This window comes from Homo sapiens, chromosome 7 (genome assembly GCF_000001405.40).
Source record: "Homo sapiens chromosome 7, GRCh38.p14 Primary Assembly".
Classification (NCBI taxonomy): Eukaryota; Metazoa; Chordata; class Mammalia; order Primates; family Hominidae; genus Homo; species Homo sapiens.
In genome coordinates, this window is record NC_000007.14 from 74,581,823 (window position 1) to 74,599,571 (window position 17,749).

Here is a 17,749-nt window from a genome sequence, read left to right on the forward strand (position 1 = left end):
ATAGTGAGACCTTGTCTCTACAAATAACACAAAAATTAGACAGACATAGTGGCACACACCTGTAGCACCAGCTACTCAGGAGGCTGAGGATGGAGGATGGCTTCAGCTCAGGAGGCGGAGGTTACAGTGAGCTGAGATTGCTCCACTGCGCTCCAGCCTGGGCAACAGAGCCAGACCATCTCAACTCAAAAAAATAAATAAATAAATAAAGCTTGGCTGGGCCATCTGGGTTAGCAAGGATCTTAGCATTCTCCCTCAGGGCTAACCAGGGTGCGTGGGCGAGCTGTCTCGGTTGCAGCGGGGGCCACGATTCCTGTCGGGCAAGACTGGTGCCAGCCTGCACACCTCAGAGCCCAACAGGAATATCTGTTCAGATCGAGACGTTGCCCTTTCCCCTGCAGGGCACGGCTAGAGCACAGACACAAACCCAGTGTCAGGTCCCCAGACACGGCAGGGGACAGGGGAGTTGGTCTTCACCTGTGGTTCAGGTTCCCTCCCAGACAGTGAGTCACTTATGTGCCCAAGGAGCTGCCTCTGGTGCACTCACAGTTCCCAGAAGATCTGGGATGGGACTACAGGTGTGCACCACCATGCCCAGCATTTTTTCTTTTTTTTTGGTAGAAACAGGGTTTCCCTCTGTTGCCCAGACTGGTCTTGAACTCCTGGCCTCAAGCAATCCTCCCACTTCAGCCTTCCAAAGTGCTGGGATGACAGGCATGAGCCACTGTGCCCAGCCTGTAGTGCTTTTTGATATGTGAGATTAGATCCAGCAGGCCCAGAGTCCCAGTTGAGGAATGTGGAAACAGGCTCAGAGAGGTTGAGTGACTTTCCATACACCACACAGCATTAGGGATTAGAATCAAGATTGCCTTCCAGTCTGATGAGCCAGGGACTTTCCCCATACCTGGCCCTGGGGATCCCCCTTTTCCCCACTGTATGCAGGCATTCAAGCAGGGGCTTGTCCAATCCAGCTCCCACCAGAGCCTCCCCTACTCCATTTCCTTCAAAAACTCACGATTTAAAAAAATGTAGCCTGGGCAACATAGCAAGATCCCATCTCTACAAAAGATGGAAAAATTAGCTGGGTGTGGTAGCCCACACCTGTAGTCCCAGCTACTGCACTCCAGCCTGAATGACAGCAAGACCCTGTCTCTACCAAAAAAAAAAAACCACGTAATTCTCTTTACTCTAAATTAAATAAAAAGAAAGAGGTAGGAAAATGCAAGAACAGCTACAGAGAAAAATCAGTGTTCTTCCTGAGCTTGATGTTGACTGAGCTAGAGAATCCCACAGACAAGGTATATTGTGGGCCTTGCACAGTGTCTGCACGTAGTATGTGCCAAGCTTGTTTTTTATTTTTTAATTTTTGTTTGGTTGTTTGTTTGAAACAGGATCTAGCTCAGTCACCCAGGCTGGAGTGCAGTGGGGCAATCATGGCTTACTGCAACATTGACCTTCCAGGCTCAAGCAATCCTCCCACCTCAGCCTCCCAAGTATCTGGGATTACAGGCACACACCACCATGCCCAGCTAATTTTTCTTTTTTTTTCTTTTTTTTTTTTTTTTTTTGTGGAGACAGGGTCTTGCCATGTTGCCCAGGCTGGTTGCAAACTCGTGGCCTCAGTCTCCCAAATTGCTGGGATTACAGGCGTGAGCCACTACATCCGGCCAGTTCTTGGTGTTATTGACAAAGGCATTTAGCCCCACTCCACCCCTCCCACACTCCAGAGGTGGTCAGGACGCCTCCCCAAACTGCCAGCCCCCTCAGCCAGCCCGGCCCCACTTTCCTGACATGCACACTCCCACCACTTCTGGTCCACCGCCTGGGACCTGTGCCCCATATAGAATTGCCATAGTATCCTATCGACTGCCCCGTAGTGTCACTCCTGGTTAGCTGCAGCCTGGTTTAGGGTTGCACTTCTTCCCAGACCAGGCAAGACTTGGAAGGAAGAGGGGAAGTTTCCTGATTGGCTAAAGCATGTTGAGCACCTGAAATCACAGGATACTACAAGTTTCCTTGTGTCTTACTCACCGCTCACAACTGCCTTGGAGGTCCGTGTGATGAGCCCCAGCGTGCAGATGAGCCCACATCCTTGGAGCTTTGGGCCCCGTGTGGTGGTCACCTCCTCTGGGAAGTCCTCCCTGACTCCCAGCTGGGTCAGGATCCCTGCTATAGACCCCCGTGGGCCATGTAAACCAAAAGTGCCTGAAACAGGTCTCAATCAATTTAAAGATTTATTTTGCCATGGGGGAGGACACAGCCAGGAAAAAGAGACTCAAGCTGCAATAGGGTCTGTGGCCTGTGCTTTTTTCCAGAGTTTTGAGGACTTTGGTATTTAAAGGGGAAAGAGGGCCTGGGTACGGTGGCTCACAGCACTTTGGGAGGCCAAGCCAGGTGGATCACCTGAGGTCAGGAGTTCGAGACTGGCCTGGGCAGCATAACAAAACCCCATCTCTACTAAAAATACAAAAAATTAGCCAGGTGTGGTGGCGGGTACCTGTAATCCCAGCTACTCTGGAGGCTGAGGCACGAGAATCACTCGAACCCGGTAGGCGGAGGTTGCAGTGAGCCAAAATCATGCCACTGCACTCCAGCCTGGAAAACAGGGAGACTCTGTCTCGAAAAATAAAAAAATAAAGGGGGAAGAGGAATAGTTAATGATGTATTTATCCTGTGCTCAGTAAATCTGCCTTTTACATAAGATAAAGTAAATAGAGTAGAGGAAGTCATATAGGCATTTGTCTTGGGTAGACAGAGCAATGATTTCTATTCTTATCTTTGTCCCCTGCCTGTGAAGATAAGCTGTGAATTTACATGGCCAGGGTGAGGGAGGCCACCAGGGGAGCTAGGTGGCCTTCTATCTTGCAGCCATCTGTTTAGGAACAAAAGGCTATTGCGTGACTCAGTTCCCAAGCTTAACATTTCCCTTTGGCATAGTAAGTTTGGGGTCCCATGTTTTTTGTTTGTTTGGGTTTTTTGTGTGTTGTTGTTGTTTTGAGATGAAGTCTCGCTCTTGTCCCCCAGGCTGGAGTACGATGGCGCGATCTTGGCTCTCTGTAACCTCCGCCTCCCAGGTTTAAGCGATTCTCCTGCCTCCGCCCCCGGAGTAGCTGGGATTACAGGCACCTGCCACCACGCCTGGCTAAATTTTGTACTTTTAGTTGAGACGGGGTTTCACCACGTTGGACAGGCTGGTCTCGAACTTCTGAGCTCAGGTGATCCACCCACCTCGGCCTCCCAAAGTGCTGGGATTACAGATGTGAGCCACCGCGCCCAGCCTGTTTGGTGTTTTTTTTTTTTTTTTTTTTGAGACGGAGTCTTGCTCTGTCGCCTAGGCTGGAGTGCAGTGGCGCAATCTCAGCTCACTGCAACCTCCACCTCCCAGTTCAAGGGATTCTCCTGCTTCAGCCTCCTGAGTAACTGGGATTACAGGCATGCACCACCACGCCCAGCTAATTTTTTGTATTTTTAGTAGAGACGGGGTTTCACCATGTTGGCCAGGCTGGTCTGGAACTCCTGACCTCAAGTGATCCACCTGCCTCGGCCTCTGAGAGTGCTGGGATTATAGGCGTGAGTCACCGTGCCCGGTCTGGGCCTCGTCTTTGAGAGGCCTGCTAAGCTTCTTTCTGTCCTGCAGGTTTCGTAGAGCTCTGACTTTGAGTCTCGCTCTGTCCCGACACAGGAGAAGACAGAGGTGTGGCATTGTGGGCTGAGAGCAACAGATTAGAGGAAACTATCTTAAAGATTAAGCCTTCTTTCTACAGCTACTGTAGGGGAGCCTGGGCATGGTGGTTCACGTCTGTAATCCCAGCACTTTGGGAGGCCGAGGTGGGCGAATCACCTGAGGCCAGGAGTTGGAGACCAGCCTGAGTAACATGGTGAAACCCCATCTCTACTAAAAATACAAAAATCAGCCAGGTGTGATGGTGGGTGCCTGTAATCCCAGATACTCGAGAGGCTGAGGCAGGAGAATCACTTGAACCCAGCAGGCAGAGGTTGCAGTGAGCCAAGATCGCACCACTGCACTCCAGTCCAGCCTGGGTGACAGAGCAAGACTCTTCCAAAAAAAAAAAGAAAAAGAAAGAAACTGTAGAGGAATCTGAGACCTCAGGAAACCCAGGGCTCATGGTAGAGTGGAAAGACCAGGGCTTTGGGGTTGACACAGAGTACTCCTGGTGCTTAGAGGCTGTGTGACCTTGGGCAAGTTTCTTTACCTCTCTGAGCCTCTGTGTCTTTGGCTGCAGTGTCTAGGAAAGCATCTGCACACAGTGATGTGTGTGATCCAGGCCATCCTTTCTCTGTTCTGTGCATGCATGGCCATGCCTGCTGAGAATCCTGCCACCAAAGATTCCTCAGTGGCATGGGGACAGATGGAATGTGCTGTTGCTTCCCTGCAGGCTCTAGGAGCTGGTCCTTGGGCCCAGGACTCCATCACTGTTGTCTGCATGGATTTGGACAAGGGTGGCCTTGATTCTTCCCACATCCTAGTCCTGAAAGGAAGGCCCGTGTTGGGTCACAGGAGAAGACGAGGGTTCTAGGGGATGTGGAGCGTGGGGTCTTTGTGTGGCTGAATTAGAGGCATTACTCCACGAGATAGGGACACGGGAGGAGGACGTTGTCTGGAATGGCTGATGTTTGCAGTGTCTCTGGGCACGCAGGGGGGCTGGCGGGCCGTGCCTGAAGACAGATCAGCAACTCAGAGATGTGCAGAGATTGCTGAGTGTGGGTGTGGACGGACCAGGCCAGGGACCTGCAGGGTTTGGGAGGACCTGAGGTGGTGGGTGTTGGAGCCCTGGGAAAAGGAGGAACCAGGCCAAGCAGGTGCCCAGCCTCTGTCCTGTGGGAAGCTCCCTGCTCTTTGGGGCAACCCCCACATGGGGAACAGGGCCTCCATTCTGGCAGCTTGCGCACGGGAGGCCAAGCCACCCAGACGGGGTCAGCAGACTCTAAGCAGCACAGAGCACCACGCCAGGAGATGCAGTTCCCAAGGCAGCCTCCTAAACAGAAGTGAGCTCTTCCCAGAGTTTTCAAGATTAAAAGAGCCAGACACAGTGGCTCACAACTGTAATCCCAGCACTTTCGGAGGCTGCGGACAGGAGGATCGCTTGAGCTTAGGAGTTCGAGAACAGCCTGTGCAACAGAGAGAGACTCTCTCTACAAAAAATTTTAAAAAAACTTAGTCTGGCATGGTGATTCATGCCTGGAGCCCCAGCTACTTGAGAGGCTGAGTGGGGAGGATTGCTTGAGCCAAAGAGTTCAAGGCTGCAGTGAGCTATGATGGCACCACTGTACTCCAACCTGGGAAACAGGGTGAGACCCTGTCTCAAAAAACAGGAGTCAGGCTGGGCACAGTGGCTCACGCCTGTAATCCCAGCACTTTGGGAGACCGAGGCAGGCAGATCACCTGAGCTCAGGAGTTTGAGACCACCCTGGCCAATATGGCAAAACCCCATCTCTACTAAATATACAAAAATTAACCGGACGTTGTGGCAGGCGCCTGTAGTCCCAGCTCTCAGGAGGCTGACGCAGGAGAATGGCTTGAACCTGGGAGGCAGAGGTTGCAGCGAACCGAGACCGTGCCACTGCACTCCAGCCTGGGCAACAGAGTGAGACTCTGTCTTGGAAAAACAAAAAGAAAAAAAAACAGGAGTCATTTTGCTCCAAAGACCCATCAGTCTGCTCTGCCCTGAATCATCCGGCCCTGGCTCCCTGCCTGCGTCTAGCTCCACCCCACAACATCTCACCCTTACCGAACCCGCCTGCCCCAAGAGGCCCAGCCCATGTGACCCCACGCTTCTCAGAGAGGAGATTTCCTGTTGGACATGCAAACCACCCTTCCTGCAATCCCAGCCCCGTCCTCAACCCTGGCACAAGCCCACAGGCTGCTGCAGAGCTCTGCCCCAGACCCCATCTCCAGCCCAACCCCCACTCAGCCTTACAGCCCAGCTCAGGCCCCATCTCCAGGGCTAACTGACTCCAGCAGCTCCTCTAGGCTACAGGGAGGGGAGAGCAGAGCACACCAGGGCTCAAGCAGCAGATAGGCCGTGACGGTTACCTGGGCAGTGAGCAGGGAGAATGCACGGCCCCCACACTCCCAGACACGGTCTGTTTCCCATTCACAGACCTTGGTCAGCGAGCGGTCAGGGGATTTCCAACAGCCCAGCACAGTGACACCGGCCCCTGTGCATGGACCCCACTAGGCCCATCAGTCATCTCCCCTGTACCACCCCAAAGTTCAGCCACTTCCAGGACATGGGATCTTTTTCTTTTTTTCTTTTCTTTTCTTTTTTTTTTTTTTTTTTGAGACGGAGTTTCGCTCTTGTTGCCCAGGCTGGAGTGCAGTGGCGCGATCTCAGCTCACTGCAACCTCCGCCTCCTGGGTTCAAGCAGTTCTCCTGTCTCAATCTCTTGAGTAGTTGGGATTACAGGTGCCCGCCACCACACTCGGCTAATTTTTGTATTTTTAGTAGAGACGGGGTTTCGCTATGTTGGCCAGGGTGGTCTCAAACTCCTGACCTCTGGTGATCTGCCAATCTCAGCCTCCCTCAGTGCTGGGGTTACAGGCGTGAGCCACCGCACCCAGCCAACACAAGATCTTTCACGCTTGAGTGCCTATGCATGGCTGGTCCTTCTGTCCTGGTGGCTTCCCACTGCCACTCCGTCCTTCACAAACTCCTACCTGCCTTTTTGGAGCCCATTTTTTGTTTGTTTGTTTGTTTTCATTTTTGTTTGAGACAGGTCTCTGTCTCCCGGGCTGGACTGCAGTGACGTGATCTCTGCTCACTGCAACCTCCACCTTCCAGGCTCAAGTGATTCTCCTACCTCACCCTCCTGAGTAGCTGGGACTACAGGTGCCCGCCACATGCCCAGCTAATCTTTTTGTATTTTTAGTACAGACGGGGTTTCACCATGTTGGCCAGAATGGTCTCGAACTCCTGGCCTCAAGTAATCTGCCTGCCTCTGCCTCCCAAAGTGCTGGGATTATAGGCATGAGCCACCATGTCAGGCCTTGAGAGCCCATTCAAGCATCCTTCTCTCTTGGGGGAGGTCTCCCCAGACTTGCCCACAGAGGGTGGGCACCCTCATTCATGCCCCTTGTCTCCTAAGTGTGTCCTGTTGTACTTTAGTGACCAGATGACACCCCCTCTGGCTGGGAGCCCCTCAGGGAAGCAGCCCTGCCTCTTCTCTTTAGGTTGTTTTGTGCCCAACACAGGGCCTGTGCTGGGGACACTGATAAAAAAATGTGGGATGGGCTGGCCACCGTGGCTCACATCTGTAATTCCTGAACTTTGGGAGGGCAAAGCAAGAGGATCACTTGAGGCCAGCAAGAGGATCACTTCAGCCTGGGAAACATAGCGAGACTCCATCTGTACAAAAACTTTAAAAAATTAGGCATGGTGGCACACATCTTTATTCCCAGCTACTCAGGAGGCTGAGGTGGGAGGATCACTTGAGCCTGGGAGTTGGAGGCTGCCGTGAGCTATCTATGATCCACTGCTGCCTTCCAGCCTGGGTGACAGAGCAAGACCGTGTCTCAAAAAAAGAAAAATGGATGGAGGGACAGACCAATAACTGATGCTAGAAACCAGCTGCAGCCAGGCACAGTGGCTCACACCTGTAATCCCAGCACTTTGGGAGGCTGAGGCGGGTGGATCACCTGAGCCAGGAGTTTGAGACCAGCCTGGGCAACATGGTGAAACCCCATCTCTACTAAAAATACAAAAATTAGCTGGGCATGGTGGCACGTGCCTGTGATCCCAGCTACTTGGGATGGTGAGGCAGGAGAATTCGCTTGAACCCAGAAGGCAGAGGTTGCAGTGAGCTGAGATCACGCCACTGCACTCCAGCCTGGGCAACAGAGCGAGACTCTGTCTCAAAAGGAAAAAAAAAAAAACAGCTATATAGGAGTGGGTCGGCCCTGCAGAGAATGTAATGTTTTGGCAGATCAGGGACGCCTGGTGGGAGAAGCAGCAGGTCCAGTGGCTAAGCTGGTGCCAACTCTCATGCCCCCTTGTCTTCCTCTTGTAGATGAAGATGACGCCAACAGACTCGGGGAGAAGGTGATCCTGCGGGAGCAGGTGAAGGAACTCTTCAACGAGAAATACGGTCAGTGCCTGTGGTCAGGGTCAGCACACCAAGCCCTCCTCCCGGGGGTGGTGGGGGGCCTCCCTCTGCAGCCAGCCTGGCTTTCAGGAGCCCCCAGCTGGCTGCCTGCTCCCTGGTGACATGGCTGCTCTGCCCATGACCCACGTTTTGTGTATGTTGATTTTTTTTTTTTAAACAGGGTCTCACTCTGTTGCCCAAGCTGGAGTACAGTGGCGTATCTCCGCTCACTGCAGCCTTCACCTCCTGGGCTTAGGTGATCCTCCTGCCTCAGCCTCCCAAGTAGCTGGGACTACAAGCATGCGCCAACACTCCCGGCTAATTTTTCTATTTTTAGTAGAGACAAGGTTTCACTATGTTGCCCAGACTGGTCTTGATCTTCTGGGTTCAAGCGATCCTCCTGCCTTGGCCTCCCAAAGTGCCAGGATTACAGGTGTGAGCCACCATGCCCAGCCTGTAGGTCTTGATTTTTTTTTTTTTGGAGACAGAGTCTCACTCTGTCGCCCAGGCTGGAGTGCAGTGGCGGGATCTCCACTCACTGCAAGCTCCACCTCCTGGGTTCACGTCATTCTCCTGCCTCAGCCTCACGAGTAGCTGGGACTACAGGTGCCCGCCACCACGCCCGGCTAATTTTTTTGTATTTTTTTAGTAGAGACGAGGTTTTACCGAGTTAGCCACGATGGTCTCGATCTCCTGACCTCGTGATCCTCCTGCCTCAGCCTCCCAAAGTGCTGGGATTACAGGCGTGAGCCACTGCGCCCCACCAGGGTCTTGATTTTTAAACTCTCTGGGTGTGATGGCTGCTGGGCTAGGGCAGCCCAGACTCCAGCCCTTTCCCTAGAGGGCTTTGCCATTGACAGGAGACATCTTTCCTCACTGTGACTTCCTGTGCCCTCTAGGTGAGGCCCTGGGCCTGAACCGGCCGGTGCTGGTCCCTTATAAACTAATCCGGGACAGCCCAGACGCCGTGGAGGTCACGGGTCTGCCTGATGACATCCCCTTCCGGAACCCCAACACGTACGACATCCACCGGCTGGAGAAGATCCTGAAGGCCCGAGAGCATGTCCGCATGGTCATCATTAACCAGCTCCAGTGAGTGCCCGGCCTCTGGAACGGGGAACAGAGAGGGCGAGGCCATGGGGAGGGTGAAAGTCAAGGTCACGGTGGGTCAGCTGGGATCCAGACCCAGGTGTACTGTAATAGTTCCTGCCTCTTTCTCCTGAAACATACAACTTCAACAGTCATGGACATTTACTTATTTTTAAAGATTATTTTTTAGATATTACATTTGTTCTCTGGGGAAAAAACAAAACATGTTTTAATTAAATTTGACTTTTTCTGACTATACAATTCTGATTTTTAACATTTAAATATAAATATGTTTATTTAAATATGAATATTTATTATATATTTTAGAATAATTATAATTCCATAGTCTCAGTGATTCTCTTTTTTTTTTTTTTTTTTTTTTGAGACAGAGTCTTGCTCTGTCACCCAGTCTGGAGTGCAGTGGCACGATCTCAGCTCACTGCACGCTTCACCTCCTGAGTTCAACCGATTCTCGTGCCTCAGCCTCCCAAGTAGCTGGGATTACAGGTGTGCACCATCACACCGGCTAATTTTTGTATTTTTTTGGTAGAGATGGAGTTTCACCATGTTGGCCAGGCTGGTCTCGAACTCCTGACCTGAAGTGATCTGCCCGCCTCAGCCTCCCAAAGTGCTGGGATTACAGGCGTGAGCCACTGCACCCAGCCTGCATTATTACTATTATACCGTATATCCTTACAATCTTTTGGGTTTTGGTTTTTGTTTTGAGACAGGGTCTCACTCTGTTGCCCAGGCAGGAGTACAGAGGTATGATCATGGCCCAGTGCAGCCTCAACAGGGTCTCACTGTATTGCCCAGGCTGGTCTTGAACTCCTAAGCTCAAGTGATCCTCCCACCTCGGCCTCCCAAAGTGCTGAGGTTACAGGTGTGAGCCACCACACCCAAACCTGGGTGGCCCAGTTTTTTTTTTTTAATACAATAGATTATTTGATTATTTTCAGAATAATACACACAGCAACCTGGAAAATACAAAAAGATAGAAGAAAAGAAGATAGCTGTAACTCTCCTACTGAAAGTCAACACTGTGATGCATTTCTTTATATTTTTAAATTATTATTTTATTAATATATTATTACTTTCTTTTTGAGATGGACTCTCGTTCTGTCACACAGGCTGGAATGCAGTGGTGTGATCTCAGCTCACTGCAACCTCCACCGCCCAGGTTCAAGCAATTCTCCTGTCTCAGTCTCTCAAGTAGCTGGCACTACAGGCACACGCTACCACACCTGGCTAATTTTTTTTTTGTATTTTTAGTAGAGATGGGGTTTCACCATATTGGTCAGGCTGGTCTCAAACTCCTGACCTCAGGTGATCCACCTACCTCAGCCTCCCAAAGTGCTGGGATTACAGGCATGAGTCACCACACCCAGCCCCCCCTTTTTTTTTGTATTGCACAGGCTAGTCTCGAACTCCTGGGCTCAAGCCATCCTCCCATGTCGGCCTTTCAAAGTGCTGGGATTATGGGGGTCAGCCACCACACCTGGCCTGTGGTGTATTTCTTTCTTTCTTTTTTTTTTTTAAGATGGAGTTTTGCTCTTGTTACTCAGGCTAGAGTGCAATGGCACGATCTCAGCTCACTGCAACCTCCACCTCCCAGATTCAAGCAATTCTCCTGCCTCACCCTCCCGAGTAGCTGGGATTACAGGCATGTGCCACCACCCCAGCTAATTTTGTATTTTTAATAGAGACAGGGTTTCTCCACGTTGGTCAGGCTGGTCTCGAACTCCCGACCTCAGGTGATCTGCCCACCTCAGCCTCCTAAAGTGCTGGGATTACAAGCTTGAGCCACCGTACCCGGCCCGCCTTCAATGTTATATTATGTGTTTTGTTTCTTCGTTTTTTTGAGATGAGGTCTTGCTCTGTCGCCCTGGCTGGAGTGCAGTGCCGTCATCTTGGCTCACTGTAACCTCTGCCTCTTGGATTCAAGCAATTCTTGTGCCTCAGCCTCCCAAATAGCTGGGATCACAGGTGCCCGCCACCACACCTGGCTAATTTTTGTATTTTTGTAGAGACAGGTTTTCACCATGTTGGCCAGGCTGGTCTGGAACTCCTGACCTTAAGTGATCCGCCCACCTTGGCCTCCCAAAGTACTGGGATTACAAACATGAGCCACTGTGCCTGGCCTACATGTTTTTTTAAAATTACGATAATATTTGCGTGTGTCAAAAAAAAACAAATTGTTCAAAATCAAAAAGTGGAGGTTTCCTTTCTCCCACAGACAGTTCACCCCCTGAAGTAACAACTAGAAAATGCAGGAAAACGGCCAGGCGTGGTGGCTCACGCCTGTAATCCCAGCACTTTGGGAGGCCGAGGTGGGTGAATCACCTGAGGTCAGGAGTTCGAGACCAGCCTGACCAATATGGTGAAACCTCATCTCTACTAAAAAAAAAAAAAAAAAAAAAAAAAGATACAAAAATTGGGCCAGGCACAGTGGCTCACGCCTGTAATCCCAGCACTTTGGGAGGCCGAGGCTGGCAGATCACAAGGTCAGGAGATCACAACCATCCTGGCTAACATGGTGAAACCCCGTCTCCACTAAAAATACAAAAAACTAGCCGGGCGTGGCGCAGGGCACCTGTTGTTCCAGCTACTCGAGAGGCTGAGGCAGGAGAATGGCATGAACCTGGGAGGCGGAGCTTGCAGTGAGCCAAGATAGTGTCACTGCACTCCAGCCTGGATGACAGAGCGAGACTCCATCTCAAAAAAAAAAAAAAAAAAAAAATTAGCTAAGTGTGGTGGCATGTGCCTGTAGTCCCAGCTACTCAGGAGGCTAAGACAGGAGAATTGCTTGAACCCAGAAGGCAGAGGTTGCAGTGAGCCAAGATTGCACCACTGCACTCCAGCCTGGGCGACAGAGTAAGATTCTGTCTCAAAAAATAAAAATAGGCTGGGCGTGGTGGCTCGCGCTTGTAATCCCAGCACTTTGGGAGGCCAAGGCGGGCAGTTCACGAGGTCAGGAGTTCGAGACCAGCCTGGCCAACATAGTGAAATCCCATCTCTACTAAAAATACAAAAAATTAGCCGGGCATGGTGGTACACGCCTGTAATCCCAGCTACTCGAGAGCCTGAGGCAGGACAATCGCTTGAACCCAGGAGGTGGAGGTTGCAGTGAGCTGAGACCATGCCACAGCACACCAGCCTGGACAACAGAGCAAGACTCCGTCTCAAAAAAAAAAAATTAATTAATAAAAATAAAAATTAGCCGGGCATGGTGGTGTGCACCTGCCTTCCCAGCTACTGGGAAGGCTGAGGCAGGAGGATCGATTGAGCCCAGGAGTTCGAGGCTGCAGTGAGCTAGGATGGCACCACCGAACTCCAGCCTGGGCAAAAGAGTGAGACTCTGTCTCAAAAATAATAATTGATAATAATGCTGTGATGAATATCCACTTGCATAAATCTGGGCACACATTTCTGATCACTTGGTCAGACAACATCCTCGCTTTATAGATGAGGACAGCAGACCCAGAGGAAAGATTTGCCAGCACAGGCCCATCATCCAGGGCCTATATGGGGGATGCTCTGTTGGGACGTTGTGCCCCCCATTTTTATTTGGGTCTTACCAGGCTCCCCCAGCAGCAGCAGCAGCATATCTCAGGGAGCAGGTGAGAAGGAGGGGAAAACAGCCAGACACCTGGATTCTCCGGGCGCGATGGCTCATGCCTGTATCCCAGCACTTTGGGAGGTGGAGGCAGGCAGATCACCTGAGGTCAGGAGTTCAAGACCAACCTGGCCAACATGGTGAAACCCCGTCTCTACTAAAAATATAAAACTTAGCCGGGCATGGTGGCGGGCGCCTGTAGTCCCAGCTACTCGGGAGGCTGAGACAGGAGAATGGCGTGAACCCAGGAGGTGGAGGCTGCAGTGAGCTGAAATTGCGCCACTGCACTTCAGCCTGGGCAACCGAGTGAGACTCCATCTCAAAAAAATAAAGGAGGGGAAAACCTCATTTTCTAACTGCCACCTCATTTCTTTCTTTTTCAGACCCTTTGCAGAAATCTGCAATGATGCCAAGGTGCCAGGTGAGTCAGAGGTGAAGAAGCCACCCTTCTGCTCCGTGGGGACTAGAGACTGTTCCATTTGAAAAAAGGTAGACCCGGGCGCAGTGGCTCATGCCTGTAATCCCAGCACTTTGGGAGGCCGAGGCAGGCAGATCACTTGAGGTCAGGAGTTCAAGACCAGCCTGAGCAACATGGTGAAACCCCGTCTCTACTAAAAATGCAACAATTAGCTGGGCGTGGTCGTGGGCACCTGTAATCCCAGCTACTCAGGGGACTGAGGCAGGAGAATTGCGTGAACCCGGGAGGCAGAGGTTGCGGTGAACTGAGATCGCGCCCCTGCACTCCAGCCTGGGTGACAGAGCAAGACTCCATCTCGAAAAAAAGAAAAAAAGAAAGAAAGAAAAAAGCAGAGACACCAGGAGTTGGAGGCTGCAATGAGTTATGATTGTACCACTGCACTCCAGCCTGAGCAACGGAGCGAGACCCTGTCTCTAAAAAAAAAAAATTTCATAAAAAAATTTTTTAAAGGCAGAAATAGATGTGGTCCAGGTGGGCATGCAATAGATGGCTGACCACCTTGAGAAAAATATAGCCCCTCTCCACGCTGGGGCCTCCCCAGGGAGCCTGAGGTCTCCATGAACAGAGCCAGGTATCCCCAAGAGGCCTCCAGAAACCTGCAGGTGCCCTGCAGAGGGGAGGCCTTGCCATAGCACCAGTGAGTGTATGAGGTCAGCTGGAAGGACAAGAGGCAGGCTGGGCCTCAGGGAGGATCATGGAGTCCTCCTGGGTAGCAGAGGGGTAGCACGTGACCAACAGTGGTGAGGCAGGCAGGCATTGCCCGAGACTGGCCAGACCCCCTCTGTTCTGCTGGCATCTGCAGGGTATACAGAACCTTTCACTAGGCACCTGGGGGCCGCCTGGCATGATGGTTCTGATTAAGGTGTATGATGGGACTTGGGAGAAAGTACTCCCGGGTGACTATGATGTGCACCTGATTAAGAAACACTGATTGGGCCAGGCGCAGAGGCTCACACCTGTAATCCCAGCACTTTGGGAGGCCGAGGCAGGCATATCACTTGAGATCAGGAGTTCAAGTCCAGACTGGCCAACATGGTGAAACCCCATCTCAACTGAAAATAGAAAAATCAGGGCCGGGCGCGGTGGCTCACGCGTGTAATCCCAGCACTTTGGAAGGCTGAGGTGGGTGGATCACCTGAGGTCAAGAGTTCGAGACCAGCCTGGTCAACATGCTAAACCCTGTCTCTATTAAAAATACAAAAATTAGCCAGGCATGGTGGCACGTGCCTGTAATCCCAGCTACTTGGGGGCTGAGGTAGGAGGATCGCTTGAACCTAGGAGACAGAGGTTGCAGTGAGCCAAGATTATGCCACTGCACTCCAGCCTGGGCAACAGAGCAAGACTCTGTCTCAAAAAAAAAAAAAAAAAGAAAAAGAAAAAAAAAATTAGCCTGGCATGGTGGTGCACGCCTGCAGTCCCAGCTACTTGGGAGTCTGAGGTGGAAGAATCACTTTAGTCCAGGAGGCAGAGGTTGCAGTGAGTCGAGATCACACCACTGCACTCCAGGCTGGGTGACAGAGCAAGACTCTGTCTCGAAAAGAAAAAGAAAAAGAAACACTGATTGGCCAGGTGTGGTGGCTCACGCCTCTAATCCCAGCAATTTGGGAGGCCTAAGTGGGAGGACTGCTTGAGTCCAGGAGTTTGAAACCAACCTGGGCAACGTAGTGAGATCTTGTCTCTACAAAAAGTTTTTTCTCCCATCCAAGTACTAACCAGGCCCGACCCTGCTTCAGTTCTGAGATCAGGCAAGATCGGGTGCATTCAGGGTGGTATGGCTGTGGACCAAAAAGGTTTTTCTAAAAATTAGCCAGGCATGGTAGTAGGCACTTGTAGTCCCAGGAGGCTGAGGCTGGAGGATCACTTGAGCCCAAGAGTTTAAGGCTGCAGTGAGCTATGATTATGCCATCCTGCCTGGATGACAGAATGAGACCCCATCTCTTTTTTTTTTTTCCGAGACAGCGTCTCACTCTGTCGCCCAGGCTGGAGTGCAGTGGTGTGATCTCGGCTCACTGCAACCTCCGACTCCCGGGTTCAAGTGATTCTCCTGCCTCAGTTTCCCAAGTAGCTGGGATTACAGGCGCCTGCCACCACGCCCAGCTATTTTTTTGTATTTTTAGTAGAGACGGGGTTTCTCCATATTGGCCAGGCTGGTCTCGAACTCCTGACCTCATGATCTACCTGCCTCGGCCCCCCAAAGTGCTGGGATTACAGGCGTAAGCCACTGCTACCGGCCTTTTTTTTTTTTTTTTTTCTTTCAAGACAGAGTCTCACTCTGTCACTCAGGCTGGAGTCAATCTTGCGATCTTGGCTCACTGCAACCTCCGCCTCCTGAGTTCAAGCAATTCTCATGCCTTAGCCTCCCGAGTAGCTGGGACTTCAGGCATGCACCACCACACCCAGCTAATTTTTTGTATTTTTAGTAGAAGTGAGGTTTCACCATGTTGGCCGGGCTGGTCTCAAACACCTGACCTCAAGTGATCTTCCCACCCCAGCATCCCAAAGTGCTGGGATTACAGGCGTGAGCTACTGTGCCTGGCCGAGACCCCGTCTCCTAAGAAATAAAAAAGAAGAAGAAAGAAAAAATACTGATCTAATCTTACCCCACCTCATTGTACAGCTGGGAAGCTGAGGCACAGAGATGCCCAGGGACTTGCCCAGGCCACATAGTGAGTCAGATGCTGTGTAGACCCTGCTCTCAGGACCACCCATCTGAACCATAGACCACCGTGGGCCACACGGCCCAGTATGGCTGCTCAACAGGGACAGTGATAGGATTCAGCAAGTCCACGCCACAACCTTACCTGAGACCCAAGGCCCTGACTCCTGTCAGGACCAGGTTCACCTGGAACTCCACAGCCTGGGGTGGCACAGCCCAGCTAGAAGCCACCTCCTTCCATCAAGAGCTAGTCACAAGCCTGGGCCATAAAGTGAGACCCTCCCTCCGTCTCTGCAAAAAAATTAAAAATTAGCCAGGCGTGGTGGCGCGTACCTGTTGTCCCAGATAGTCAAGAGGATGAGGCAGGAGGAGTGCTTGAGGCCGGAAGGTGGAGGCTGCAGTGAGCTATGATTGTGCCACTGCGCTCCAGCCTGGGCGACAGAGTGAGACCCTGTTTCCAAAAAAAAAAGAGCCAGTTAAAAGGGTCAGGTCTGGCACTGAACACACGGATCTGGAGGCGATTTGGTTTACTCTCAGGTCAAAGGCAGAGAGGAGGCCAGTCGCGGTGGCTCACGCCTGTAATCCCAACACTTTGGGAGGCTGAGGCAGGGAGGCAGGTGGATCACCTGAGGTCAGGAGTTCAAGACCAGCCTGGCCAACATGGTGAAACCTTGTCTCTACTAAAATCCAAAAAAAAAAAAATTAGCCGGGGGTGGTGGTGGGCGCCTGTAATCCCAGCCGCTCAGGAGGCTGAGGCAGGAGAATTGCTTGAACCCAGGAAGCGGCGGTTGCAGTGAGCTGAGATCACACTACTGTACTTCAGCCTGGGGAACACAGCCAGGCTCTGTCTCAAAAAAAAACAAAACAAAACATGGCAGAGACACAGAAGGCCACATGAAAGCCTCAGGAGGATTTGGGACAGATGCCCAGAGGGTGGATACTGTCACCCACATCCACCACTCCCTCCAATGTGGCCATCTCTCATGGTGATTCAAGGATGGCCACAGCCCATGGACCAGTCTGAGACAGAGGGTGGGGCAGCCTCTGACTTCTTTTTCATGTGGAATCTCCCACAAAAATCCCTCTGACTCATAGCCTGGGCTCCTCCTGCCTCCAGGGTCTTCTCTTTCGCAGGGTCTCTATGCCTCACCACAGACCCCCAGTTTCTGACTTCTCCACCAGTTGAAGAGACATTTGCCCCATGGACCCAGCCTGCCCTTACTCTGTGTCATTAAGACCCTTCCGGTGGGCTGAGTGCAGTGGCTCACGCCTGTAATCCCAGCACTTTGGGAGGCTGAAGCAGGAGAATTCTTTGAGCCCAAGAGTTCAAGACCAGACTGGGCAACATACAGAGACCCCGTCTCTACAAAAAATTAGCCAGGCAGGGTGGTGTGCACCTGTAGGGAGGCTGAGGCAGGAGGATCACTTGAGCTTGGGAGGTGGAGGTTGCAGTGAGCCAAGACCACACCACTGCACTCCAGCATGGGTGACAGAGTGAGACCTTGTCTCAAAAAGACAATAAAAGCCCTTCTTTATTGGGCTGGGCGAGGTTTCCATGCAGTAATCCATCCAATCAGGACGTGCTGCTCAAAGTCTTACATCTTCACCTCAAGTTAATCCAGCAACCACAGAACACCTGCTGACCCCTCCTCCGTGCTGAACTAGGTGCTGGGTTCTTTTATGCATGCGGTGTTTTTTGAGTCTCACATCACACTGGTTTCCCCATTTGACTCAGAGAGGTTCATCAGTTTTCCCAGATTCACACAGTGATAATAGTAAGTGGCCACAGTGAAATTTGAACTTAGGA

At 51.6% G+C, this 17,749-nt stretch overlaps 1 protein-coding gene and 1 non-coding gene across 21 annotated transcripts in view, besides 5 other annotated features; both read left to right on the top strand.

Moving 5' to 3' along the window:
* Positions 1 to 17,749, top strand: part of GTF2IRD1 (GTF2I repeat domain containing 1) — a 148,700-nt gene that overhangs the window by 127,917 nt on the left and 3,034 nt on the right. For all 20 annotated transcript variants that reach the window (XM_047421058.1, NM_001199207.2, XM_047421064.1 and 17 more), the window contains 3 exons: positions 8,029 to 8,106; positions 9,003 to 9,195; positions 13,192 to 13,229. In XM_047421058.1, coding sequence (XP_047277014.1) covers positions 8,029 to 8,106; positions 9,003 to 9,195; positions 13,192 to 13,229 — 309 coding nt within the window. The remainder of the gene's footprint in view (positions 1 to 8,028; positions 8,107 to 9,002; positions 9,196 to 13,191; positions 13,230 to 17,749) is intronic.
* Positions 5,378 to 5,965: an enhancer, noted in NCBI's record as "H3K27ac-H3K4me1 hESC enhancer chr7:74001529-74002116 (GRCh37/hg19 assembly coordinates)". NCBI's record gives its function as "activates a minimal SCP1, AML or CMV promoter by ChIP-STARR-seq in naive H9 embryonic stem cells {active_cell/tissue: H9 hESC(naive)}" and the evidence as "EXISTENCE:reporter gene assay evidence [ECO:0000049][PMID:30033119]".
* Positions 5,966 to 6,552: an enhancer, noted in NCBI's record as "H3K27ac-H3K4me1 hESC enhancer chr7:74002117-74002703 (GRCh37/hg19 assembly coordinates)". NCBI's record gives its function as "activates a minimal SCP1, AML or CMV promoter by ChIP-STARR-seq in naive H9 embryonic stem cells {active_cell/tissue: H9 hESC(naive)}" and the evidence as "EXISTENCE:reporter gene assay evidence [ECO:0000049][PMID:30033119]".
* Positions 6,032 to 6,081: an enhancer, noted in NCBI's record as "active region_26163". NCBI's record gives its function as "activates an Ori minimal core promoter by ATAC-STARR-seq in GM12878 lymphoblastoid cells {active_cell/tissue: GM12878}" and the evidence as "EXISTENCE:reporter gene assay evidence [ECO:0000049][PMID:35858748]".
* Positions 6,102 to 6,261: an enhancer, noted in NCBI's record as "active region_26164". NCBI's record gives its function as "activates an Ori minimal core promoter by ATAC-STARR-seq in GM12878 lymphoblastoid cells {active_cell/tissue: GM12878}" and the evidence as "EXISTENCE:reporter gene assay evidence [ECO:0000049][PMID:35858748]".
* On the top strand, positions 14,146 to 14,204 carry MIR10525 (microRNA 10525). Its single transcript, NR_162116.1, has one exon. It is a non-coding gene; the product is annotated as a microRNA 10525 (primary transcript).
* Positions 17,059 to 17,128: an enhancer, noted in NCBI's record as "active region_26165". NCBI's record gives its function as "activates an Ori minimal core promoter by ATAC-STARR-seq in GM12878 lymphoblastoid cells {active_cell/tissue: GM12878}" and the evidence as "EXISTENCE:reporter gene assay evidence [ECO:0000049][PMID:35858748]".